General features: G+C 52.4%; 1 protein-coding gene across 12 annotated transcripts in view, besides 6 other annotated features; it reads right to left on the bottom strand.

Moving 5' to 3' along the window:
- Positions 325-826: an enhancer, noted in NCBI's record as "H3K27ac hESC enhancer chr9:116375197-116375698 (GRCh37/hg19 assembly coordinates)". NCBI's record gives its function as "activates a minimal SCP1, AML or CMV promoter by ChIP-STARR-seq in naive H9 embryonic stem cells {active_cell/tissue: H9 hESC(naive)}" and the evidence as "EXISTENCE:reporter gene assay evidence [ECO:0000049][PMID:30033119]".
- Positions 11,431-11,510: a silencer, noted in NCBI's record as "silent region_20206". NCBI's record gives its function as "represses an Ori minimal core promoter by ATAC-STARR-seq in GM12878 lymphoblastoid cells {active_cell/tissue: GM12878}" and the evidence as "EXISTENCE:reporter gene assay evidence [ECO:0000049][PMID:35858748]".
- Positions 13,411-14,334: an enhancer, noted in NCBI's record as "H3K27ac-H3K4me1 hESC enhancer chr9:116361689-116362612 (GRCh37/hg19 assembly coordinates)". NCBI's record gives its function as "activates a minimal SCP1, AML or CMV promoter by ChIP-STARR-seq in naive H9 embryonic stem cells {active_cell/tissue: H9 hESC(naive)}" and the evidence as "EXISTENCE:reporter gene assay evidence [ECO:0000049][PMID:30033119]".
- Positions 14,661-14,827: a silencer, noted in NCBI's record as "fragment chr9:116361196-116361362 (GRCh37/hg19 assembly coordinates)". NCBI's record gives its function as "represses an EF-1alpha promoter that drives an FKBP-Casp9 reporter gene in an ReSE screen in phorbol 12-myristate 13-acetate-treated (for megakaryocytic differentiation) K562 erythroleukemia cells {active_cell/tissue: K562(+PMA)}" and the evidence as "EXISTENCE:reporter gene assay evidence [ECO:0000049][PMID:32094911]".
- RGS3 (regulator of G protein signaling 3) overlaps positions 16,005-26,106 on the bottom strand; it is a 153,009-nt gene continuing 142,907 nt past the window's right edge. For 9 of the 12 annotated variants that reach the window (NM_144488.8, NM_001282923.2, NM_001394167.1 and 6 more), the window contains 5 exons: positions 22,346-22,410; positions 19,212-19,313; positions 18,763-18,824; positions 17,978-18,144; positions 16,005-16,975 (listed from right to left, as the gene is read on the bottom strand). In NM_144488.8, the coding sequence (NP_652759.4) occupies positions 16,790-16,975; positions 17,978-18,144; positions 18,763-18,824; positions 19,212-19,313; positions 22,346-22,410 (582 nt within the window). In that variant the 3' untranslated portion in view covers positions 16,005-16,789. Of the gene's footprint in view, positions 16,976-17,977; positions 18,145-18,762; positions 18,825-19,211; positions 19,314-19,404; positions 19,615-22,345; positions 22,411-26,106 lie in introns of those variants that run through there. The other 3 variants (NM_144489.4, NM_001276262.2, NM_134427.3) reach the window with 3 other exon arrangements.
- Positions 23,775-24,274: an enhancer, noted in NCBI's record as "H3K4me1 hESC enhancer chr9:116351749-116352248 (GRCh37/hg19 assembly coordinates)". NCBI's record gives its function as "activates a minimal SCP1, AML or CMV promoter by ChIP-STARR-seq in primed H9 embryonic stem cells {active_cell/tissue: H9 hESC(primed)}" and the evidence as "EXISTENCE:reporter gene assay evidence [ECO:0000049][PMID:30033119]".
- Positions 24,275-24,776: an enhancer, noted in NCBI's record as "H3K4me1 hESC enhancer chr9:116351247-116351748 (GRCh37/hg19 assembly coordinates)". NCBI's record gives its function as "activates a minimal SCP1, AML or CMV promoter by ChIP-STARR-seq in primed H9 embryonic stem cells {active_cell/tissue: H9 hESC(primed)}" and the evidence as "EXISTENCE:reporter gene assay evidence [ECO:0000049][PMID:30033119]".

Genomic DNA, 26,106 nt, shown 5'->3' with positions numbered 1-26,106 from the left:
TGGGCTCACTGCAACCTCCGCCTCCTGGGTTCAGGCGAGTCTCCTGCCTCAGCCTCCCGAATAGCTGGGATTACAGGTGTGCGCCACCACAGTTGGCTACTACCAATTTTATGAACTTGCTCCCCACCAGCCCCTGCCCCTGATGTCAGATCAGTCTTTGCCTCTGGTGGCACCCAGTTTTAAAATCCTCCAGCCCAAACAGCTGCAGGCCGCAAAGCCGAAGTGCAGAGAAGCACTTGGCCCAGCATCACCGACAGGACAGGAATCAGAGCCCACACCCTTCCTCCTCCTCATGGTCAACCTGGAATTTAAGGCCATTCAGTACCAATGAGCCAGCCTGCAGAGAAGTGGTAAGTCTGTGACAACGAAAACCACAACACGCCCAGAGACATCATTACAGCCCAGCAACTGCACCTGGAGCTGGCTCTCGGGGGCCTGAGCTCTCTGCAAACGCAGCCTTATTTCCCTCTTGCACTCACCCATCAAGGGAGTATCATTGCCCTACTGTATCAAAGGAAACAGGCTCAGATGGGAGACAGAGGTAAAGGTACGCCCCTGAGCTAAGAGGGTAACTTCCTGGCTTTGGGGATCAGGTAGGGAAGTTGGCGGCAGCTTCCAGGGTCCAGGGGTTTAGCTCCACCAAGGGGCAGTGCCTGTTCTTTCCTGTCTGCAGAGACACAGGCCCTGCCCAGAGTCAGAGCCAGGAGGCAAGTGGGCACGCCAGGGTCGTGGGCCTTTGCCCTGCCCAACTCTCCACCTTTCCCAGGCAGCTCGGCCAGGCCAGGCACCCTCTTCCTCACAAAGCCCCTTCTGTCCCCAGGCAGGAAGGGCTGCTACAGGGTCACCCTCCAATTTCTTGGAAACCGAGGCAGCCCAGATAGGGCCCAGGGGAGTTTCTTGGAAGATGGGCTTTAAAAAAAAAAAAAAAAGCCCGGATTCAATGCTTCCCCAGTCCTTTGGCCTTGGATAAATCCTTCTCCCTCCCTGAGCCTCAGTTTCTTCCTCTGTAAAATGGGGCTGCCACCCATTCCCTCCTGGGATGGTTGGGAGGAACATGTGCCGGTGCATGAAGTCCTTGGCACAGCCCTGGCACAAGGGAGGTATTCAATCCACGTGTGTCCTGTTCCAGTCTTCGGCTACTCTGATCAACCACGGGTTATAAATTGGACTTGACTGGTCCAAAGGTTCCCCTCCTGACCCCAGCAGAAGCTGCAGGGGAGAAACAGTGATTCTTGGAAAGTCACCACCAAGTCCTTCCAGAAACTGGAGGGCCACTGGTCAACATGTCACCTGGCATCCACACCAACCGCCAGGCCCTGAGTAGCCCTACCTGACCTATCAGCTGACCACATCAAATGCCATAGTCCTGCTCACCACTCCGTGTCTACCCCGCGCTGGGCACTGGGGACTCATCAAATACCATCAGGCCCTCCCTCTCTCAAGTCATCTCGCTCGGCTCTCCCCTGCTCAAAGCTGCCAGGCTCCCCACACGTAACACAACATATACACCATATGTATCATATCAGATAAATGGATGATACCCATACATATTTACACACATGCCACACCACACACACACCTGCAGGGCACTGTTGCATTTAGCATGAAGTCCTAGTCTGCAGCTGGGCATTCCAGGCCCCTCTTGGTGAGGCCAGCTTCCCCTGTAGTCTCGCCTGCACCCCACACCCAAGCCACAGCCAGCTCCCAGCTCTCACATGGCCGCCTGCTTTCGTCACCATGGGAAGAGCTTAGTTTGGGGTCTGGCCCACAGGAAGATGCGATCCGGAGTCTGCAGAACCTCCAGGCTTCTGCCTCACAGGGTCTCTTGCTCAGAATGCCACTGCCCTTCTCTAGCAATCTATGACACATGTCCAGATCCACCTTGGTCTTTACCTCTTCCAGGAAGCCTTCCCTGATGCCCACCCCTCCAGGCCAGTATAGGTACCTTATTCCCAGGGGGAGCTGCGTGGTGTCCCCAAATCCTCCTGTCACTCCTGACCTATCAGGATGAAATAGCACTACTCCCCACCCACCATCCCAGTGTGTCCTCTCCAAGTTCCTATAAATGTGGATGTCCACCTGCCAGTCCTGCTTGCTCTCAGCACCTGCAGCTGTCCTCTGCCCAGCAGCCTGCTGGGCTCCATTCTGGAGACACCCCAACCCCCACCTTATCCCAAGGGCCTTGCAATGCTGAGTTAACTTGGATAACAGCAATTCCAATGCTGGCCACCAAAAAACTTGACATTCAGGGTCAGACATGATGCTTCTTAGGAATTTGTCAACCATCTTTCCTCACAGAGAATCTCTCACAAGCTGGGAGTCGGGAAACCTAACCTCTCAGAGTGTTCTGGAAACTCCTTCTCCCTTCTCAGGTCCCCTCACCCTTCTCATTTCTAATGCCAAAGCTATTCAGAACTTCCGCTCCTTGGGGATCCCAGGAGGGGCCTCACCTGACAGGATTTACTATCTGCCAATATGCAAAAGTGACTACTGTCAGTCATTTTAAATCGCCATTGCTATGGAATGAAAGGTGTCTCCCACATTTCCAATGTTGAAGTCCTAACTCCCAGTCCTGGAGAATGTCACTGTATTTACAGAGGTCATTAAGTTAGTGTGAGGTCAATAGAGTGGGAATGACTGTCTTCCTAAGCCAATGTGACTGATGTCCTTATAAGAAGAGGAGATGAGGACACAGAAGGGTGCAAGGGAAGACCCATGAAGGCACAGGGAGAAGATGGCCAACGACAAGCCAAAGAGAGCAGCCTCAGAAGAAACCAACCCTGCCACACCTGGATCCTGGACTTCCAGCCTCCAGAACTGTGAGGAAATAGACTACTGCTGCTTAAGGCACCACCAGGCTTGGGACTGTGTTTTGACCACCGTAGCAGACTCATGTAGATGTTTCTCATGCATCTTGCTCATTGTGCTGTCAATGAGCCTGTCTTCCCTTCCAGACTGTGAATTCCTGAATTCCCCAATTCCACTGGGCAGATCGGATGCCTCCATCCCTCAGGGCCTAGAAGCCACTACGCCCAGAATGTGTTTCCTGGGTGAAGACCTTTTGTGTCTGCAATGAACAGAACTGTGCTTCGTGGGCTTTTTAAATCACCAGACGAGGGAAGGTGGAGGCCAGACCATGCTGGTCCCCTCCCCAGCTGTGAAGCACCATCCCATACCGCCCTGAATGAAAGGCTCCCCCACATTTTACCAATGAGTAAACCAAGGCCAGGGAAGACAAGTGACTTGCCTGAGGTCATTCATGGAGTCAGAGTTGTTAAAGAGGAGAGACTGAAGCCCACCAGTCCCGGGGGGGCCTGAGAGGTGGCAGGCTGGTTTGGGTGGCTCTGCAGTGTCCACACTCTGGAAGGAGACAGAGAGGGCCTGGGTTTGAATCCCGACTCCTCCTCTTATTTGCTGTGTGTGAGCAGGTTCCTGGCCTCTTTTAACTGGGCCTCAGTTTCCACATGTGAACAATGAGGCTGATAAATATGAGAGGACACGCAGTGCTCAGCACCGTGTCTGACCCACGAGACGGGCTCAAGAAATGTTGGAAAGGCTGCCGCCGCTGCTAACAAACACAGCATTCCCAAAATACTTGCCGGCTCCGCACCTGGCCCCACGGGAAGTCTAACAAAGAGCTTGGGTAGAAGCTTTTCCTGCCGGTCGGCATGGGGGAGGTGGCCAGGCAACCTCTGTCCACCTCTGAGCACTGCCCCCACTCGCTCTATCATTTACCCTTCTCCTGGCCTTACAGGGCCCAGGGACTCGATAAGGTTCAATGGCTCATTGTTCTCCATCCAGGCTCAAACCAGGCCAGGCCTGCCGGGAACCAGCAACTAAAAATAGCCCCACCGGGTGTTTGGGTCCAGCTGCTTCTCTCAGTCTGGGGGTCAAGAGGTGCCCGCGATCTTCCTGGTCACTACTCTGGGTGAAGGCCAGCTTGGCCAACTGCCAGATCACCCTGACTGGAGAGCCCAAACTCACACCCGCAAAATATTTAATGGAAAATTCAAGAGCTGCTACGATTCTCCCAGGGACAGAGCCTTGGCACAGATTTTCAGAGGGAGTTCAGGGTTCAGAGGTGGGGCGGGTCTCAGCCTGCCAAGGATTGGGAGAACAGGCTGGAAGAACAGGCTGGAATTGGCGAGGCAAACAGAGACAGTGAAGGTATCCCAGGTGGCAGCGACAGCAGAAGCAAGGGATGAGGAGGAGGCTAGGTGTGATAATGAGAGGCTGCAGGAGGGCTATTTGGCAGAGCAGGAGGGGGTGTCTTCAAGGGGAGGCCCAGGCTCACTCCAGAAGGACCCTGAATGCCTGGCAAGACTTTACAAAAAAAAAAAAAAAAGAATAAAATGGGAAGACTCACTCTGCCTGATTTATTTATTTATTTATTTATTTATTTATTTATTTATTTTTGCTGAGACAGAGTCTCGCTGTGTTGCCCAGGCTGCAGCACAGTGGCAGGATCTCAGCTCACCGCAACCTCCACCTCCCGGGTTCAAATGATTCTCCTACCTCAGCCTCCCGAGTAGCTGGGATTACAGGCGCCCGCCACCTTGCCTGGCTAATGTTTGTATTTTTTTTTAGTAGAGACGGGAGTCTCACCATGTTGGCCAGGCTGGTCTTGAACTCCTGACCTCAAGTGATCAGCCCACCTTGACCTCCCAAAGTGCAGGGATTACAGGCATGAGCCACAATGCCCGGCCCACTCTACCTGATTTTAAGACATCATATAGTACAGTAACCAAGACTGTGTGGCACTGGCAGAGAGATAGAAACACAGATCATTGGAACAGAGAACCTAGACATAGACCCACAGGGTATGACCAACTGATTTTTGACAAAGGTGCAAAACTTCACACCCACTGGGATGGCTGTAATAAAAAAGACTTCATACTTCCGGGTGCAGTGGCTCACACCTGTAATCCCAGCACTTTGGGAGGCCAAGGTGGGCTGACTGCTTGATCTCAGGAGTTTGAGACCAGCCTGGTCAAGATGGTGAAACCCTGTCTCTACAAAAAGTACAAAAATTAGCTGGGCATGGTGGCGGGCACCTGTAATCCCAGCTACTCAGGAGGCCGAGGCAGGAGAATCACTTGAGCTGGGGAGGCAGAGGCTGCAGTGAGCCAAAATCACACCATTTGCACTCCGGCAAGAGGGACAGGAGTAAAACTCTTGTCTCAACAACAACAAAAAATCATAGTAAGTGTTGGTGAAGATGTGTAGAAATCAGACTCCTCACACCCTGCTGGTAGACATGTAAATGGCAAAGTTTGGCATTTCCTCAAAAAGTTACACATAGAGCTTGTTTATGTCTCAGCAGCTGTACATCTAGGTAAATACCCAAGAAAATTGGAAACGTGTGTCCCCCAAAGAACTTGGTACATGCCTATTCATAGCAACATTATTCATAATCGACAAAAAGTAGAAATGACCCGAATGTCCATCAACTGATGAATGGATAAATAAAATGTGGTCTATTCTGTGGTATATAAAATGTGGTATACACAACAGAATATTATTAGGCAATAAAAAGAAACTAAGTACCGATACACGCCACAACACGGTGAACCTTGAAAACATTATGCTAAGTGAAAGAAGCCATTTGCAAAGGACCACATATCGTGTGATTCCATTTACATGAAAGGTCTACAACAGGCAAATCTGTGGAGGCAGAAAGTAGATTAGTGGTAGTCCAGGGCTGGGAGGGTGAGGTATATGGGAGGCAGTGACTGCTAATAGGTATCGTGTTGTTTTATGGGCTGATGAAAATGTTCTAAAATTGATTGTGATAATGATTGTACAACTCTGAGAATAGGCTAAAAACCACTGAATTGTAACCTTGAAAGAGGTGAATTGTCCCATATGTGCTTATACCTCAATAAAGCTGGTTTTTTTTTTTTGTTTTGTTTTCTTTTTTTTGAGACGGAGTCTCGCTCTGTCGCCCAGGCCGGACTGCGGACTGCAGTGGCGCAATCTCGGCTCACTGCAAGCTCCGCTTCCCGGGTTCACACCATTCTCCTGCCTCAGCCTCCCGAGTAGCTGGGACTACAGGCGCCCGCCACCGCGCCCGGCTAATTTTTTTGTATTTTTAGTAGAGACGGGGTTTCACCTTGTTAGCCAGGATGGTCTTGATCGCCTCGGCCTCCCAAAGTGCTGGGATTACAGGCGTGAGCCACCGCGCCCGGCCTAAAGCTGTTTTTTAACAAAAGCAATTCAGCAAAAGAATGATAGTCTTTTCAGCAGATGGTGCTGAAGCCATTGGCTATCCTTTTTTATTTTTTATTTTTTTGAGACAGAGTTTCACTCTCGCTGCCCAGGTTGGAGTGCAATGGCGTGATCTCGGCTCACTGCAACCTCCGCCTTCCAGGTTCAAGCTGTTCTCCTGCCTCAGCCTCCTGAGTATCTGGGATTACAGGCACCCACCACCATGCCTGGCTAATTTTTGTATTTTTAGTAGAGACAGAGTGTCACCATTTTGGCCAGGCTGGTCTCAAACTCCTGACGTCAGGTGATCCACTTGCCTCGGCCTCCCAAAGTGCTGGGATCACAGACATGTGCCACTGCGCCCGGCTGCCATTGGCTATCCTTAGGCAAAAAAAAAAAAAAAAAGAACCTCAACCTAAACCTCACATCGTATGAGAATTAGCTCAAACTAGATCAAAGATTTAAATGTGAAACAATACAACGTTCAGAAGAAAACATAGGAGAAAATCTTCAGGATTTTCCTGTACAACCCAGCAATTGCGCTCCTGGGTCATTTATCCCAGAGAAATGAAAAGTTATGTCCCCACAAAACTCTCTCTACAATACTTCATAGCAGCTTTATATGTAACAGCCCCACTACCTGTACAGCTCCTAGGGCTTAGTGGAAAGCTCTTAGACAACAAGGAAAGCATGATCCATTTTTTAAAAAGGACAAATTGTACTTCATCAACAGTCAAAACTTTTGCTCTGCAAAAGACACCGTTAGAAGGATGAAAAGACAAGCTACAGACTGAGCACATTATTCGCAAATCGTATATCTGACAAAGCATTCATACATAGACTGTATGCGCTCTCAAAACTCAACAGTAAAAAAAGCAAACAATCTAATTAGAAAATGGGCAGAAGACATGGAAAGACATTTCACCAATGAGGATATACAGATGGCAAATAGCACATGAAAAGATGTTCAGTATCACCAGCCATTAGGAAAATGCAAATTAAGACCCGGATGAAAATCACCACGTTATCTGTTAGAACAGCTAAAATAAAACACTGGGGCAACATTAAATGCTGGCAAGAATGCAGAAACATTGGATCTCTCATGGTACAGCTACTCTGGAAGATAGTTGGCAGTTTCTTAAAAACTAAACCTATACTTACTGTACAACCCAGCAATTGCACTCCTGGTCATTTATCCCAGTGAAATGAGAAGTTACATCCACACAAAACTCTCTCCACAACAGTTCACAGCAGCTTTATATGTAACAGCCCCAAACTGGAAATGACCAAAATGTCCCTCAAGAGGCAAATGGCTAAACGAACGGTTGTACATCCATACCACAGAATGTTACTCAGCAATAAATAGGATTGAACGCAACATAAATAGGATACCCACAACATCTTGGATGAAGCTCAAGGACGTTATACTGAGTGAAAAAAGACAATCTTAAAAGGTCACATACTGTACAATTCCATTTATATCACATTCTTGAAATGACAAAATTACATAGATGGAGAACAGATTAGTGGTTGCGAGGGGTTAGGGGTGGGGAATGGGTGTACCTATAAAAGGGTATCGAGGGAGGTCTTTGTGGTGATGGAATAGTTCCATGTCTTGATTGCGGTGGTGTTTATACAAATCTGCAGGTGATAAAATGACATAGAACTGTACATACGTATTGTCCCAATGTCAATTTCAATTTTTGATATTGTACTATAATTATGTAAGATGTGTTCATTGGGGCACACTAGGTGAAGGGTACATGAGACCTCGCTATACTATCTTTGCAATTTCCTGTGAATATATAATTATTTTAAACTTTAAAAGTTTAAAAAACACACACGTGCTTTCACTGCAGTGAGAACTTTCCCCAGGTAGACCCTGACCCTTCTGCCTCCAGGAAAAGTTACAGTGAGTAGTTCTGAGCCCAGCCCACAGGGAGGGGTCATGTCCCACCCAGCTCTTCCTAGGTCGGTTGACTACAGAAGCATAAGAGAGAATAAGTTATTGTTATTTGAGGCCAGTGTATTTTGGGGTGGGTTTTATTTATTTATTTATTTATCTTATTTACTTATTTTTGAGATGAAATCTTGCTTTGTCGCCCAGGCTGGAGTGCAGTGGCGCAATCTTGGCTCACTGCAACCTCCACCTCCTGGGTTCAAGCCTCAGCCTCCCATGTAGCTGGGATTACAGGCGTGTGCCACCACACCTGGCTAATTTTTATATTTTAGTAGAGACAGGGTTTCACCATGTTGGCCAGGCTGGTGTTTAACTCCTGACTTCTAGTGATCCGCCCCCTCCTCGGCCTCCCAAAGTGTTGGGATTACAGGCGTGAGCCACTGCGCCCGGCCTGGGGTGGTTTGTTTTGCAGCACTGTTGTATCAATAGTTAACTGACACATGCCCACTTGCCCCACTTCCTCTCCATAGCCTTACGAGAATGGATGTCTGTCATTGATGACAGTGGCGGAGACAGCTAGTCGTCCCCAACATCTGCTCAGCCTTTGTATTACCCCAGAGTAACAGAACCTCTGATTTTTATCTGGTCACATGGCTGTCTAGATTAACACTACATTTCTCAGCTTTCCCTCTTCTCATTTATTTACTTATTTATTTTCAGAGACAGGGTCTCACTATGTCACCCAGGCTTGAGTGCAGTGGCACCATCATAGCTCACTGCAGTCTTGAACTCCTGGGCTCAAGGGTTTCTCCCGTCTCAACCTCCTGAGTTCACTACCATGCCTGGCTGAGTTTTTTATTTTTTGTAGAGACAGGGTCTCACTATGTTATCCATAGTGAGGCTCCTAGTGAGGCTGGCCTCAAACTCCTGGCCTCAGGTGATCCTCCCACCTCGGCCTCCCAAAGTGTTGGGATTACAGGTGTGAGCCACTGCTCCCAGCCTCCTTCTAAACAAGTGTGGCCATGTGCTCAGTTCTGGCCAATGGGGTGTAAGGGAAAGTGTCATGTGACAGTTTCTGAGCACCTTCTCTAAGACATAACTGCAATTTACCTTTTACCCCCTCTTTCTTGGCCTCCAGCCTTGCGTGATGGCTGGAGCTCAAGCAGCCATCTTGGACAGGAAGTGGAAGCTACATTTTGAGGACGGCAAAGTAACAGACAAAATCAGGGTTCCTGATGATCACGAAAAGGCCATGCCAGCACTAGGCTGCTTCTACCTGAGTTTCCTTTATGGGAGAGAGAGAAACTTCTACCTTGTGTTTTTGTCACTTACAACAGAACTCAATCTTTACTCATGCAGTGGCTTCTTATCCAGACTTTTTGTTCATGGGCTTGTCCTGTGCAACCCACCATGCTAAGCAATATATGGCCTTTTATCCAATAAATAAGTATTTATTAAGCACCTACCATGCGCCAGGCACTGTGATTGATAAGCCTGGGGATACAGTGAGAAGACGGACAGGGTTCCTGCCCCAAGGGGCTTAAGCTTGAAAGGAAGAGACAGCGATGAATGAACATATGCGTGTGTGTAATTACAACCTGTGACAAGAGCCATGAAAGAGGAGGAGCAGGAGGCTTTGGGAGCAGTCAGCAGGGGCCCTCTTATAGTCAGGGTTATCAGGGAAGGCTTCCCTGAGGCAGTGACATCTAAACCAAGCTCTGGAGAAGAGGGGGAGGAATACAGCCTACTACTCAAGAGCACAGGCTTCAGAGCAAGCCCAGCCTGATACTGAGTACTGGGTAAACTGAGACCCAGAAAGTGAAGTAAGTTGCCCGAGTTTACACAACTAAGTGGAAGAGCTGGGAGTTCCCCTGAGCAATCTGTCCTCAGGCCTGGCCTCGGGGCACTAGGCTGTAGTGATTAATAATAATAGCTCTTAACTCCCAGGATTTTGGGGAGCATAAAAAAAGAAAATGTCAGTCAAGTACTTAGCACAGTGCCTGGAAAATATTAAATGTTAGCTATCATCCTCATCCTCCTCCTCCTCATCGTCATTAACTAAGGGAGCAGGGGAAAGAGTGTTCCAGGGAGGGAGGACTGCACGTGAAAGGCCCCAAATGGAAGGAAGCGTGGTGCATTCGAGGACCAGAAGGCAGACCAGCAGGGCTGAATGCAAATAGTTCACCCCTGCTTTTATTTGATCACAACAACTGTACTAGGTAACACCTATTATTAACTGGTTATAATCTCTTTAACTCTTTATAAATGTGGAAACAGTGGCCCAGAGAGGTTAAGCGACTTGCCGAAGGTCACGCAATAAAGAATCATCTGAACCTGGACTCAAGCCCAGGTCTGTCAGCCTCCAAAGCCCAAGCCCCCAGTTACCACCCTCCCCTTCCTTGGAATGGACAGAACTCGAGAGCAAGCCAGTTCCTGCTGCAATAGCACCTCAGAAGGAAAAGCTATACAGCCTGAGGCATCAGAGTCGGATGGCTCCTAGAGAGCACTTTGAACACGCCCCACCCATTTTTAAGATGGGGAAAGTGAGGCCCAGCGAGGAAAGGGACTTGCCACAGACAGATCGGCAGTGGAACTGGACTTATATTCCCAGACTGGAGGCTGTATTCCCCTCCAGTCTGGGGGCGGGCATCGGCTGTGCCTTGTTCAGGCCCTTCTTTTTTATATCTCCCTGGGGATAGCAAACTGAGCTGAATCCCCTGAGAGGGGTGGCTCCAGCAGGTGCTGTGTTTGTGTGTGCTGGGGGTAAAAAGTGGGGATGGACTTTGCCTCAAGGGCAGGAGCTTGTGAAAAACCAGCAGATCAGGTCCCCAGCCTGGCTGGAGGACACAGAGGGCAGTGTCCCCAGGGGCATGAACCCTGTAGACTGTGGAGCTCCTTGATAAACAGACTGCTCCATCCAAGTAGGCCTTCCAGTCCCCTGGGAAGCAGCTAAAAAGAGCCCTAGCAACTCGAATACACAGCTCACATACACTTGTGCATACGCACGCACGTGCACACACACCCCGCCGCGTACAGAGGCAGCTTGGCCTGGATCCCAGCCCCCCACACCCCCACAGAGCACCATCTGCCCCTTCCGAAGGTCCTCACGCAGGAGGAAAAGCTGGATTCTCCTTGTGTGTCAAGAGAAGAAGCCAAGGACCAGAGCAGAGAGGGGCCTCATCCAGGGTCACACAGAGGTTTGGGACAGATCTGAGCTCAAAGCCCAGAACTCCTGACTGCCAGGCCAGCTACCTGATGAGGCAGATGCTATTTGGTTGCCTTTGAAACAGCAGGCAGGCAGGACCCCGCTGAGCCCATGTGGAACCTAGGGCCCAAACCCCGCCCCCTTGGGGCCCTGCCCATGTCGTGTCATTGAGTCACTGCCTTGGAGCAGATGCGGGGGCAGCTTCCTCCTGCACAGCTGGTTGGGGCTTGGCCCGACAGTGCCTCCTGGACCAGCCTCCCTCCCTCTGCCCCGCAGGGCACACTCCCTCTGTGCCTGGCCTTGTGCTGAGGGTTCACACATATTCGTAAACCTGCCAAGTCCACGCGAGTCCCAGGAGGTGGAATTATTATTCCCATTTCATAGTTAAAACAACAGAGGCTCGGAGAGGTAAAGCAACTTGTCACACAGTTCTGAGAACTGAGATTCCTTGCAGGACCGGACATCCGCACATTCATAAACTCACCTATTCCTCGGACTTCCTTAGAAAAATTCTGCCCACAAGCCAAAGAGAACCAGCATCAAAAGCCCCCATCTGCAACTCCAGCTGAACCACTAAGTCTCACAGACTGGCTGCAGGTGTGGATTCTTTTGGAAAGCCCTGGCTGAGGCTGCCTGGAAGTCAGGGATAGAGGTCCCCATCCCTGTTCAGCCATGATGGGCTGTCCACTTTCTCTGAACCCTAATTTTCTCATTTGTAAACTGAAAATAATACTCAGCCCTTCCTCCCAGGGCTTTGTGAGGATCGATGGCAATGAGGCATGGAATGCGTGGTGTGTGCCTCTGCGTGGTCCTGGCTCCTATATCTACCTGCCACCTGGCACTGCCCTCCCCACCCCCAGCCATGCCTCCACTCTCTTCTGTACCCGGCAGATGGGATCAGTCCCACAGCTGTTCCTCAATCCCCCACTGCCTCCTCCCACCCAAGGAAGGGGGCACCACTTTCCTCCTCCCTTCCCTGGCTAGGGAGAGGACAGGCAAAGCCAGATGTTCCACAAATGTTGCCAGTTGTTAGCAAAACAACAACCAACAGGTGGCTTCTTTGAGACCCCTGTCAGGTCCATTGCTTGAGGGCCTGAGAGCTCTGAGGGAGCGGTGGGGCTGTGGAGGAGTCGCCAGGAGCCTGAGGTTTGGGCAGGAAGGGAGGTGAAGCAGAGAGGCCTTCAGGGGTGGGATGTCAGTGGGAAGAGTTTGGGGAGGGGACAGTAGGTTAAGGGACAAGGGGGTGCAGAGGCAGGGAGGTAGGGTGGGGAGCTGAGAGTTTGGTGCAAGCGAGAGGAGCAGGGAGGAGTGAAGCTGGAGAATCTGGTGGGTCCAGAGGTGGCTGCCTGGGCAGGAGACCTGCAGGGGTAGGACTAACCTATCCCTCCTTCCCCACCCTGCCCCAGGACCCGACTTCAGATGGAGAGAACTTTGGAACCCCCAAGGGGCTCCCAGGCCCTCCTGAGCTCCATCATGGAAGGAATCAAGCAGAAACTCTGGGGTCCTAAGTGCTGGGCAGCAGTTTAGACTCAATGGTCTCTTCCAAGCTGGAGAGTCTGGGAGGTCATAGCTGGCCCAAGACAGGTCAAGAGAGCACGTCACTCACATGGCAGAGGCCGAGAGCATGAGGGACTTGACTCTCCCACCAGGAGCCTGGCTGCAGTTGGCACCTCGGCAGCTATCATCCAACTGAGTGGCACCCCCTCCTGCTGGCATCCAACTGAGTGGCACTGCTGTGCCCTCTTGCCTCTCCACCCACCACAACCTATTTGCCAGCTGACCCCAACTGCTCCCAGCAGGGCCAAGACTGGGCAGCAGTACGGGAACAGGCTGTTTCTCACTTACTCCCTGGAATTGGCTGGCTTTGTCCTCCAGCAAAACTGTTCCTGGAAGGACAAGGATCTGGGGTCTGAGACCAAAGGCCCCCCCCATCTTCTCAGGCCTGGGCAAGTGGAGAATGTGACCTGTGACCTTGAATAATGAGATCGCTAACAGCAGCTCACGGTTATGAAGCACCTACCCCACGCCATGCACTGAACTAAACTTGTTGCATGCACGACCTCGCTTAGTCATTGCAACTCTGGGGTAAGTGCCAATGCGCACAATTTATAGATGAGAAAGCGGAGGGAAGGAGAGGGTACATGACTTCTTCAAAGGTTTGCAGCCATTAGTAAATGGTGGAGCCAGAGACTGAGCCCCAGAGCCTGACTCCAAGGCCCTTCAGCTCTACAGTGAAGAGTGCTGCTTCCCTTCCCTCCCCTCAGTCTTCCCATCTGTGGGATGGGGAGGAGCTGGTTGAAATGACATCACAGCTCTGTGATCCCACGTTGACCGCCTGGAATTGCCAGAGACTAGAGAGCACTGCTCCTTCCTCTCCTGTGAAAGAAAATGGGAACCAGCCCAAATGACACTGTACAGATGAGGCAACTGAGGCCTAAGCGGGCAGAGAATGTACCCAAGGTCCTCCAGGGAGCCCAGGCAGGGCCCAGGGCAGGGGGACCCAGACGCCTTTCTAGTCTGCCCTCCAGCTGCTCTGCACAGCCAAAGCCACTCGGAGGCCAAGGGAACCAGGGTGTGAGTAATGGAAACCAGGCAGTGGGGCCTTCCGAAATGGGAATTCCATCTGCCTGACTTTGTTCTCCCGGACTTTGGTTTCCATGGCAACTCTGGGAACCAGGAGGTTGGGAAGGTGGAAGAGGGAAGGCCTGGCCCTAAACTGAATCCCTAGAATATAAAGAACTGGAAAGGTGGGTCTCCTTGTGGACCCAGTGGCTCCTCCCAGCAGAAGATGCGAGAGAGGCCAGGTCAGGCAGGGAAGTCCTGGGCTCAGACCCAGTACTGCCTCTACCATTTTGGGGGAGTAGGGAGTAGTATTATAGTCTTCCCTGGGCCCCAGTTTTCCCAGCTGTCAGGTCCCCAAATCTCAGGCCTGGAAAAAACCTGGAAGGTGCCCTTGTTCAGAATTAGAAGCACGACTCTTCCCAGGCCCTTCCAGCCTCTGTGAGACACTGAATCTCTACAGTGGGAAAGCTCTTCACAGTTTATAAAGCCCAATGACACTCATTGCCAGGTCCTGGAGAAAGACCCAGCACCACTCCTGGAGGGGCTCACCCTCTGGTGCCAACATGTATCAAGCACCTACGGTATACCTGGCCCCAGGTTAGGACCTTTCTGCAGAACTGGCTCACTGGCTGTTCATCCCAGCACTGAGAAGACAATAGAATCATCCCCATTTTTGCAGGCTCAGGGATGGGCAGTGACTTGCCAAGGTTACAGAGCAAGTCAGTAGCAAAGACAAGACTCAAACCCAGGATTGCCTGATTCCAAAGCCTTTGGAGACAGAAAAACCCATGCCTGACTCAGTACGGGCTAGTCAAGGAGAGGCCACGGCTGCCGGGGAGCAGAGGGAAGGGGGTTCTCTGCTGACCTAGGCTACTGTTGTTGCACAGAAGATTCTTCCAAATGGGTTTCAAGGGTGAGCAAGCATTAGGGGTCCCATTTGCAAGCGGGGCAGGAAAAGTCAGGTGTGGTCAGAGCGGCAGTCAGACAGCCCACCTCTTCCTCCTGATGAAGCCCTGCTCAGCTTCTGCTCCACACCCAGGCCCTGGCTCTAGTCCCCTGTAACCCTGAAGAGGGCTCAGTCCAACTCCCTGAAGGCCTCCAGAGACCAACAATTCTGATCCTCTCACTGTGCAGAGGGGCCAACAGGGCTGGCCTTGCCCAGGGAGATGAGTAAGGGGAGGCAGGGAGGAGGGAGCTGTACAGCCCCATGTCGTCTGCAGCTCCAAGTCTGCAGGACCCCAGGCAGGGAACAAGATCCAAGGAGACGGGGCCCAGCTCCTCCTGCATCAACTCCATCTAGCTTAATCTAAGACAGCCCTGCTGAGCCAGACCCCACCCTGGGCCATGCCCTGGCCCCTGGGAGGTTATATATGTGGGGTCAGCTTTGCCTTCAGCTTGGCCTGGACTCTGGGCCTCTTCTGCCCACTTCTAGGCAAGTGGCCCAGGTCCTCCCTTGAAGGATGCCCTGGGCCTTTCCTAAACTCGCATCTTCTGTTAGGTAGGAGGGGAAACAAAGGCACAGTGGGGAAAGCCTTACCCAGGGCCACAGAAAGACTCTGTGAGTCCTATCTCCTGTCTCCACAGCTGTTCCTTCTGCCCAGAGGCCTCCATAAGCCCACCACCACCCTTCCTGAGATTCTGGCCCCGTCTACCTTCACCAGCCATCCCTGCACCACGTGAAAGTTCTATTCAAACCTCAGGGTGTGGCGAGGCAGAGAATTGAAGGAACTTGCTGAAAGACATGTGGCCAGCTGGCGATAAGCAAGGACTCCATCCTGTAGCCGGCAGAGCCCAGGCTTTGCAGACAGTCAGACTTGGGCTGAACCCCTGCCACCTGCTGGCTACGTGACCTTCCCTGTCTGTGCTTCCATCTCCTCATCTGTAAAATGGGGATAAGCCCTACCTCCCAGGCTTGGGGAGGAGATGCAGTGACCACTAGGATGAGTGGCACAGTGCCTGGCACAGAGGAAGGCATGGGAGAGCAGCCCTCACCAGTGTATCAGTGTATCGGGCTCCAGGATGGGGGCAGGTGATGGCAAGAGAGCAGTGGCTGAATCAACAGCCCAACGACCAACCCTCCCAGCCCCAGCCACCCTGGGAAGGCTCAAGACCAGGAACACACAAAAAGGGTCAAGAACAAGAAATAACACAGGCCTTTTATTTGCTCCAGAACTTGGCTACTGTGTGGTCTGAGGGTGCCATGCTTTCCCAAAGCCCCCGAGGGACACTCCACCCAGGGGGTGCCAGATCTCTGTGTGTAGCCAGACTGCAGTGTCCCCCCAGGCTGCCTTAGTCCAGAAGGCCAGCTGCCTGCCACCGGTGCCCGGGACGAGCATATCCCCTGAAGCTGGAGAATGGTGTCCACCTTTGCATGGCAGCTTCTCCCAAGGCATTGGCTAAAATATTGCACTTGTAAATCAGGAAAACTGATGAGGCAAGGGTTTCCTATTACAGGACGACGTGCCAAGCATCCAACTACTATTTAAATAAATAAAACTCAAAGTGGGGGTCTGAGCTGCAAGCTCCAATGGCCCTCTAGGAGGGCCCGAGAGCCCAGGCCTGGACCTCCTGCCCCATCAGCCAGTTCTTTAAGGAACTTGGTCAACGCGAAGCCTCCGCGGTCTCCGCAGCAGGGAGCAGCAGCTCCAGATCTGGCTTGGCCAGGGCCCCTGACCTGCCAGGGTCTTGGGCCCCCTCGTACCGGGGCAGTGGGGACCCCACGGGGCCCATCCTTCTACTCCTCCAGTAGCCTGGGCCTCTCTTGGTCCAGGCCTCGCTTCCGTATGTCTATCCGTCTGTCCAGAGACACAGCCTCTGGGGGCTTGCTTGCCCCCTCCGTCACAGGGGGCAGGGAGGCAGGTGGGCAGGGGACCCAGCCCGCCTGGTGTGAACGCTGAGCTCGACTCCAGTGGCCCCTAAAGCGGGGGACTCATCTTCTTCTGGTTAATAAGGTCCAGGTAGAGGTCAGAACGGAGAAAGCGAGGGTACGAGTCCTTTTCCATGAGCCCGAAGATGCGCTTCTGTGCCAGGTCGAAGCAGCCCCGCGTGACGCTCTGCAGGTTGTCCTTGGTGTGCTCCCGCGTGTAGGAGTCCAGGTTGACCTGGGGAGGCAGAGGGGGACATGGTCAGGGCTGCCTGCTGGGGACTGACCCTAGGGCCCATGTGCCTGGAAGGGACCCATCCAGCCTCTCACCTCCAAGCCCCTTTGCCCCACATCTTAAGGTTCATCTGAAGTAGAGACCCTCAGACCAGAGGATTCAAGTCCTGGCTCAGTCATTTCCTGTAGGGCTGGCAGCATTTATAAGGCTGAAAATACCACCCTGAGGGTTAGGCTTCCTGGGTTCAAATCCTAGCAGTGCCACACCTGGGTGTGTGACTTGAAGCAAATTACTTAAGTGCGGTGAGCTTCAGTTGTCTTATCTACCAGCTAGGAATAATAGTACATTCCTCAAAGCGTGAAAACCAAGCAAGATCATCCATATAATGTGCTTTGCGCATAGTGCCTGGCACACAGTAGGCACTCAATAGATGGGAGCAATTATGATTTGTCTCTGTCACTCAGGCTGGAGTGCAGTGGTGCGATCTCGGCTCACTGCAACCTCCGCCTCCCGGGTTCAAGCGATTATCCTGCCTCAGCCTCCCGAGTAGCTGGGACCACAGGCGCCCATCACCACACCTGGCTAATTTTGTAATTTTAGTAGAGATGGGGTTTCGCCCTGTTGGCCAGGCTGGTCTCGAACTCCTGACCTCAAGTGATCCGCCTGGCTCGGCTTCCCAAAGTGCTGGGATTACAGGCATGAGCCACTGTGCCCAGCCTGTCTCTTCGTTTCACAGGTTGTTGTGTGGATTAAACATGAGAACGCATACATAAAGGGCTCAGCACATGCCTGGCATGCGGCAGTGCCTTGGTGGTGGCCATTTTTATTACTAACTGGGATTCTGTTCTTCCCCTGATCCTAGCTTGCATCTTCCCTGCTGGGTACCTGGGCTCATGGAGTCATTCTGGCCTCTCCCCTTCCTGTGCTGCTGGCTGCCACCTTGCAGCTGAAGGGCCACTGGGCCCTGGGGATTGGAGGAGCGGAGGGTCTGCCCTGAGGTCCTACCTCCTTGCATGCCTGGATCGCGATGTATTCAGCAAAGATCTTCTTGGCCTTGGATGCCATCTTGGACTGTGACTTGACCTTCTTGAAGTCCTCACAAGCCAACCAGAACTCCAGATTCTCCTCACTGAACTCAGTGCGAAGGAAGGCTTGGAACACTGCTAACCCGTCTGTGAGGAGAACGGATCCTGGGGTAAGAGGCAAACTCAGCCTCTCCTGCCCTTAAGATGCCTCAGCTTACCCCTACAGGACTTTAAAGATGGGCGTGCTGGGAGCTGAGTACAATGCCCGTCCCCGACAGCCAGGAGCCCTGGGATGTGGCCCCAGCCCTGCCACTGCCTCTTTCAGGGTCTCAGTGGGGTCTCCCCCTCTCTATGCCTCAGTGTCTTCATCTGTGAAATGGGGACTATCGATTCTGTCTCCCGGAGCCCTGGGAGGAGCCGATGGGACCCTGCCCATGAGATGGCAGGCACATTTGGCGCCGTGAAAGCCCTCAGTACGTAGAAATGTTTATTCTTATTCTGGGAATATGGATCTGAGCACACAGGTCCCACGGGCCTCCGGCAGGCAGTGCCAGCTCACATGGACGGGGAGGGGCTGGCAGAAGCTGGCTCCAAGGCCAGACCAAGGGCCTCAGCTTGGGCTCAGCCCCTCCGCAACAGCAAGGACACCCTGACGGCCGAGGAGAGGGAAGGCGGCCTCTCTAGCACCAGCTACACAGGGTCTGGATGGGGGCGAAGGGGAGAGGGAGAGAGGGCACAGGGAGTGGGCAGGCAGGCCCAACTTACATTTGTGAACCAGCAGCTTCTCCAAGGACTCGCCCCACTTGAGGGCTTCCTCTGAGGTGGGCCTGAGGGGTGAGGGAGGAAACACAGTGAGGGCACTGAGAGGCTTGGGAACCTTGGGGGAAGCTGGGCCAGGCGGCCTTTGTTTACTGCCCTGGGCCCAGTCTGCAGCTGAGCCCAGCTGGGGCGCCCAGGAAGGAGGCCCACCCTCTTTCCCGGGGCCAGGGTCCCTTCCAGCCCCCATCTCCACCCCACCTAGCCTTCCCCCTAGGGCAGCTGCTCCCTGTGAGGGTAGCTGCTTGCCAGGTACCCAGCTCCCTCTGTGAAAGCCTGTCTCCCCCAGAGCTGGATCAAGCCGGCAAGCCCCTTCCCCTCAACCCTACCACTCAGTCCTACTCCCCGGGGAGCCAGTGAGTTCCCCAAAGGGTCCCAGGGTGCCAGGGAGGACCTACTTGAATGACTTCATCATTTTGTCTGCCTTGCCCGCGGGAGGGGCTCCAGGGGACTCATTCCGCCGTCTGAAGATCCCCAGCTTGTTCTTCATGTCCTTGGCTCTGGGGACAGAAGCAGAAAAGAGGGTTGCTCAGCCTGGCCCACTCGCCCCTGCAAATCCAGAGTCGGGAGAGCTGGGTCGAGGGCACCTACTCCTTCATCGTGTGTCGCCTCTGCAGGTTCCCGTTGCGAGTGAGGTACATGCCTCGGAGCATCTCTGTAGGGCCCCCCACCTTGGGGCCGCAGATTGGTCTGTAGGAGGCACCACTCTGGCTCCTGTCCCCCACCCCGCGTCCTGGGCAGCGGGCAGCAACGGTGCAGGCTGCAGCCACACACGCTCTCTGGAATCCTGGCCTGATGACTGGACTCCCAGGCACAAGCCGGGGCTGGGACTCAGACAGGAGGAGCCAGGAAATGGGAGGGACCAGGAGGGGGAGCGGAAAAAAAAATTCCTTCTGGCCAACCCTGAGAGGGAGCCGTGAAAGGGGCATGTGTCTGCAAGGGACAGCCTCTGGGGCCGCCCCGGCAGGAAGCCAGTCCCAGCTATTTGTGACTGGCCTCCTCGTTACCATGGCAGCAGGGAGACAGTGGTGGGGGGTGGGGGACAAGTCAGCAAATTGCTGAAAGGGAAGGAGGGAGCCAGGGGAGGCACTGCCCACCACCGGGGTGGCAGGACTGGCTATTTTTAGCCAAGAACCATTTTTAGCCTTGCCGGTCCCCAAGGAGGCAGCAGAATTCAGCACTGGGTGAAACTGCTGGCAAGAAAGGAGTTAAATGCCTCTTGCTCATGTTCGCCCCTCTTTTCCCTAGACCCCCTGTACAGGGCACCTCCCAGAGAATGGCTCCTGCCAGCCGGCCTCTCAGCCTCAGTCACCTGCATTGGCGACATCCAGTCATGAATATACAGCAGGACCCCAACATCTTAGTAGTTTTAAGCCTGAATAACTTCAGAAGTACAAGTCCTATAAACTTACAAAAACACCATTTTAAAGTTTAATTATTTAATGTTGTGTGCATGGTTTTGTGATTTTCGAATAATAAATGTTTCACTTTAAGTTTTGGTCTCCATCCTCCCAAAGATGGAAAATGCTGACTCAAACCAAAAATGAAAATGAAAAATTGATTATTCAAAAATCACATAACTAAAGACGTGCAAAAGAAATTTAATAATTAAACTTTCAAGGGGGTTTGGTAAGTTTGAAGCATTTATACTTCTGATGCTATTCAAGCTTAAAATGGCACTAAGACCTAGACACCCTGTCTAATGAAGGAGAGTCCTGCAGGGGAGGCTGATCCCAGGCTCTGGAGCTAGTCTTGGGTTCAAATCCCAGCTCCAGCAGTTACCAGCTGTGTGCCCTTTGACACGTTTCCTGATCTCTCAAGTTTCCTATCAAGGTTTTTTCTCTGTCAAGCTGTTTCCTCAAACAGAAGCCAGCAGGCCAGGTCTCCAGGTCCCAACCCCACCACTTTCTTGCCATGTAACTTAGCCTCTTTGCACAGTAGTTTATTCACGTGTAAAATAAGGGTAAGGTCAATAAGAAAGAACAGAACGGAAAATAAAAGTAGTGGTAAAGATTAAATTAGATTACATATGAAATACACACAGAACAGTGCGGGGCATAATAAACATTAATGGTTATTCTTATTATTACCGTAGATGTTCTAAGACTCTTCGTCTAAGCTTTTAAGAGTATGACCTTCAGAGGCCAGGCATGGTGGCTCATGTCTGTAATCCCAGCACTTTGGGAGGCCGAGGCGGGAAGATCACTTGAGGCCAGGAGTTTGAGAACAGCCTGGCCAACATGGCAAAACCCCCATCTCTACTAAAAGTACAAAAAAAATTTGCTGGGTGTGATGGCACACACCTGTAATCGCAGCTACTTGGGAGGCTGAGGGACAAGAACTGCTTGAACTTGGGAGGCGGAGGTTGCAGCAAGCCAAGATCGCACTCCAGCCTGGGTGACAGAAGGAGACTCTGTCTCCAAAAAAAAAAAGTGTGGGCTTCAGGCAATTCAAAAGGCAGCACCTACATTGAAAGGAGGCTAGACAGGGCTGCTCCAGCACCCGGGATGCCTGCCCTCTGCGCCACACACTGCTTCCCTACACCTCCCACTTCCAGCACCACATTCAACAGTCCTGGCACCCCCTGGATCCTCTCTCATCCTACAAAAGGTTAAGTGAAGATGGTTGGTGCAAGGGACTGTTTTGGTTTATGCATTTCACCTTGCTAAGAAAATGCAATTGGCTGTGGAGTAAGAGAAGCCAACAGTTGCTGCAGAAAGCTGGAGAGGTCAAGGCAGCTGGGGTGAGGAAGGCTTTCTAGGGTAGTGGACCCCACCCACGGTCAAGGCCAGAGAAGAGGGTTGCAGGAGGCTCCTCCCTATAGCCCAATTCCTGCCTAGTGGTGGGTGCTACAGGACCTGGTGGGGAGGGGCTTCCTCTGGAGGTGTCACTGTGCATGCACCCCACTGCCTCCTCCCTATACCTCCCCCGAGTCTCCAGGGTCTTAGGCCTGGGGGTAGAAGAAGACCTGAGAACCCACACACACATCTTTTTCATTGACACCTCTAACAAACACCCTATAGTATAAGAAGGCCTGAGTGTGGCCAGAAAGGCTTGGCGAGTGCGGGATTCGGCAGCTGGGCCAGCAGCGCCCCCTCCTGGCAATGCCTGAGACTATTAGCATTCAGGAGCTCAGGAAGAGAAAGAGGAGCCAATGACTGTCAGTTCCACCCCTTCTCAGGTCACTCTTGGGCCCAGAGGGAGCAAAGGAGTTGTTGAAGTCACTTGGTCCCTGCTTGGCTCAGAAGCTGGGCTAAAGCCAGGGCAAACGGGCTGGTTGCTTCTGGTTCACTGTGGCTTCCGGGTACTGAATCAGCACTTTGCCTCACTTGGAGAGAATGCTCAGGACCCAGGTGACCCCACTTTGGGGTCACTGCAAAGTTCCAAGATCCAGTTTTTCCTTGGTGTCTGTCTGGGGTTGTGGGCGGGACCAGGCACAACCTCTTCTCCCCACCTGGACCCCTAGAGGAGAGACAAGCCCTGGGGCAAGGGAGGAAGAGGAGCGCAGAAGCCAGGGATCTTCCCAACGTACAGGTTTTTGCTCTTTCTCTTCCGGGAGGCTTCGTCATCATCCCCAACGGTGTCAGCCCCGCTCATCTGCGGAGAGAAGACAGACACGATGCAGTCTGGGCACCCAGGAACTCCTGCCTAAGTAAACAGAGGCTCAGAGACCCAACATTCCCTGCCACCAGCCCCTTCCATCCCCAAAGCCCCCACCCGCGGCACACAGGTGAGGGAGGGAAACCCCACTGCTGGGAACAGCCTGGCCATGAAGTGGAATCGGCCTGGCAGACTCTCCGGCCACAGGGATCTCCTCCTGGGACAGTCAGGTCCCCAGCTCACTGGGGAGAAGCCAGACGGCTGGCACTCAGGACAGAGGCTTCATTGCAGGCAGTGAGCAGGTGAGAGGGCAGGGCTTCTGCTGTGTCACTAGGCCAATCCCTGCCCCTCTCTAAGCCTCTATTCCTTAATTTCTAAAATCAGGATCATAATGATTAAGTCAGGATTCTGAAGTTCAAAGGAGACCTGAGATGGTCAGCAGTGTATAAAATAAATCATTACACAGGCCTGAGTGCACCTCTCTTGCCTTATAGCTTTCCATGGCTCCCTAGTGCCCTCGGGATAACATTCAAACTCCGTAACACGACTGGATCTACCATCTTAGGATCAGGGCAGAAAGTTCCATTCAGTTATTCCTTCAGTTATCTCTCCAGCCTGGCCCCTACTTCAGCAACCTCCTCAACTCTGCCTTCCAACCAACAGAAGGTCTTCATCTCCATGTGCAATTCCTTCCTCGGGGGATGCTTTTGTGAGTCTCCCACCTGCATGGATGGATGGATGGATGGATGGATGGATGGATGGATGGATGGATATGTGGATAGGTGGATGGATAGATGAGTGGATGGATGGATGGATGGATGAATATATGGGTGGGTGGGTGGATAGATGGATGGATGGGTGGATGGATGGATGAGTGGATGGATATATGAATGCATGGGTGAATAGATGGATGGGTGGGTGGGTGGGTGGATGGTAGATGAATGCATGGGTGAATAGATGGATGGGTGGGTGGGTGGGTGGATGGATGAAGGAGTGGATGAGTGGATGGATGGATGAATTACACCTTCATTTAGCTCATACTATAGGCCAGACCCTGGATGGGGCATAATTCAGATACTATCTCATTAAACCTCACAATAAACCTATAAAGTAAATAGAGGCTCAGAGAATTTAAGTCACTTCCCCAAGGAGACCCAGCATGTAAGTGACAGAGCTGGAATCTGCCTCAATTCAAGGCCTGTGTTTCTCCACCAGAGGATGCTGCTACTCAAAAATGCAAGGTCAGAACACATTTTAATGTTTCCTGTGAAAGACTCGGGAAGTGCTGCCTCCTTCCTGAGAATGCTGCCCCACCAGAGTTGTAAACATACATGTGTGTACGTGCACACAGAGGCACACACCGTATGGTGTGTGATTTCAGAGCAAGTGTTTGGAACCAGACCTGGATATAAATCCTGCTTTCACCAACTTTGGGTAAGTTTCCTAGCCTCTCGGCTTCCATTTTTTTAGCTATGGCTTAGGCATAGTGACAGCCACTTCACAGGGCTGATGGAAGGTTCACCAGGATAAACTCTGGACCCCAAGGCCCAGTCCTGGCACCCACGCTAACCTCAGTAACCAGTGGTCATTGCCCAGTGAGTGTTACCACTGTCACCATTCAGGGCACCCTTCAGTGCACATACAGGCTGCACTCATGCTGGCCTGGCAAGGCCATGCCCAAGGCCCCCACCCGTGGGAAAGAGCCCTCGGGCCCTGGGCTTCCTCCCATTCTAACCTCAGCTTCCGTACTTTATCGGCTCCACACAATGGGCCTGGGGACCACTCCCACCCAGCCGCCATCCTCAGCCTCTGCGCTGCTGGGAAATGGGCTCTTCCTTCCACTGTGGGGAGGAGAGTGTCTTCAGCAGGGACTGACCCAAGCCTAGCAGCCTGACAGAGGGGCTGGGCAGCTCTGGCCCTAGGAGTCAGCCCCCTGGGCTGCTGGGGAAACCCCAGCACCAAAAAGAGCCTGTGAGCCAAGGAGAAATTGAGGTGAAAAAATCGGGTTCTGATTCCCAGCCCTAGGGACTCACCATAGCTGCAGGGAGGCTTTGGCCTCTGACCTTGGAGGGGGCCAGAGTGGCTCCTCAGACTCTTCCCTCCCCTCCCACAGCTGCATCAATGCCTGCCCAGGGCCTAGTCTGCAAAGGCCCTCCAAAGGGATTCTCCTTTCCATCTTCTCCCCACTGTCTCACTATGTGACCTTGTCCAGCTGAAAAGCAGATGGAGGTGAGTCCAGGACCATACAGCCCTTCCTTCACTCCAGGCAGAATCCCTGGGCCCTGCCCAGCCTCATCCAGCCACCTCCAGGGACTAGGAGCTCACCACCTCTTGGAACAATAATTATAATTCTTACTGTAATTATAACTGTAATTATAGTAATGATTAAGAGTGTAGATTTTTAATTGCCTGGATTTGAAGCTTAGCTCAATCATTTATTAGCTCATTGACCTTAGCTCAGTTACATCCCTCTCTGTGCCTCAGTTTCCTTATTTGTAAAATGCGGGTAATAACCGGACTTCCCTCAAAGGGCTGTGGTGAGGATTATGTAAGTTAACACGGGGACGTGCTCAGCACAGCGCCCAACACACAGCAGTGAGCAAGTACTCTCAGCTAGCATGGGTTTTGCCATTATTTATTGAGCGTTCACTACATGTCAGGTGCCGGGCCAAAGTGTTTTAACATACTTTATCTCATTTAATCTTGGCAACGATTCTAAGAGCTAGTTACTGATATTTCCCCTCAGTGTGCAGCTGAGGAAACAGATGCCCAGGGCAGTTTGATAACTGGCCTGGGCTCTCTGAACTAACAAGTAGCAGAGAACTGTGGTCTGGGTCCAGAGCCCACTAGTGACTGAGCGCTCGTCTGTGAGCAGGGCTCAGCTGGTTTCCCTATTGGTCCTGGTCGGACTTCTGGGGCTCCCTGGCCATCCATGGCTGCCCTCTCCGATCCAGCCCAGGCTGGCAGGCCCCATGGAACCACGTGGAAACAGTGGATTTAAACTCTATACTTACTTGTTTACACATCCGAAATAATTCTTTAGGCTTTTTAAAAATAGGAGGCTTGAAGGTATTATCGTCTTGGAGCTGGAAGGCATTTTTGGGGTCCTCTCGTCTGATCTCTGACCTACGTGGGAGCTTAGTGAAACAGGGCTGGCACCCTCTGTGGACCACCTCTGCCCAGGCCAGTCCCCTGCAGGGGAGGAAGGAAGCAGGGCCAGGGAAGGGCTGCAGCCTGTGGTCTCCTCACTGTCAAAGAATAGCCCATGACCCTCTGTGCTGAGCCAGATAGGCTGGACTAGAATTCAATGGCAGCATCCTGGACCCAAACACAATTATTCTCCGGGGCTTCCTTGACTCCCCAGGAAGAAGGCCTGTGATCTGCTCTGCAGGGCCTCCAGGGAGCAGCCAGGAAGGCAGGGGTCTGGCGGCAGGGGGCACCATGAGACCACTCAACTCAGCACAGGGCGCCACACCCAGGGGATGGCCAGCTGGAGAACCATGGCGGGGAGTGGGGGCAGGGGGCTCTCCCTCTCTGGACTCAGTCAGCCCATCTGTGAGATCACCATGGTCGAGCAGACTATCTCTGAGGTCTGCCTGTTCTGACATTCCTACTCACAGTAGAAATTGCTCAGCACATAAGAGGGCAGGATAACAGGGGTGTGGACCGGAGACAACGTCGAGACTGAATGTC

This window comes from Homo sapiens, chromosome 9 (assembly GCF_000001405.40).
Source record: "Homo sapiens chromosome 9, GRCh38.p14 Primary Assembly".
NCBI classification, from domain to species: Eukaryota; Metazoa; Chordata; class Mammalia; order Primates; family Hominidae; genus Homo; species Homo sapiens.
Note: the sequence above shows the minus strand (reverse complement) of the source record. Positions and strands in the feature narration are given on the sequence as shown.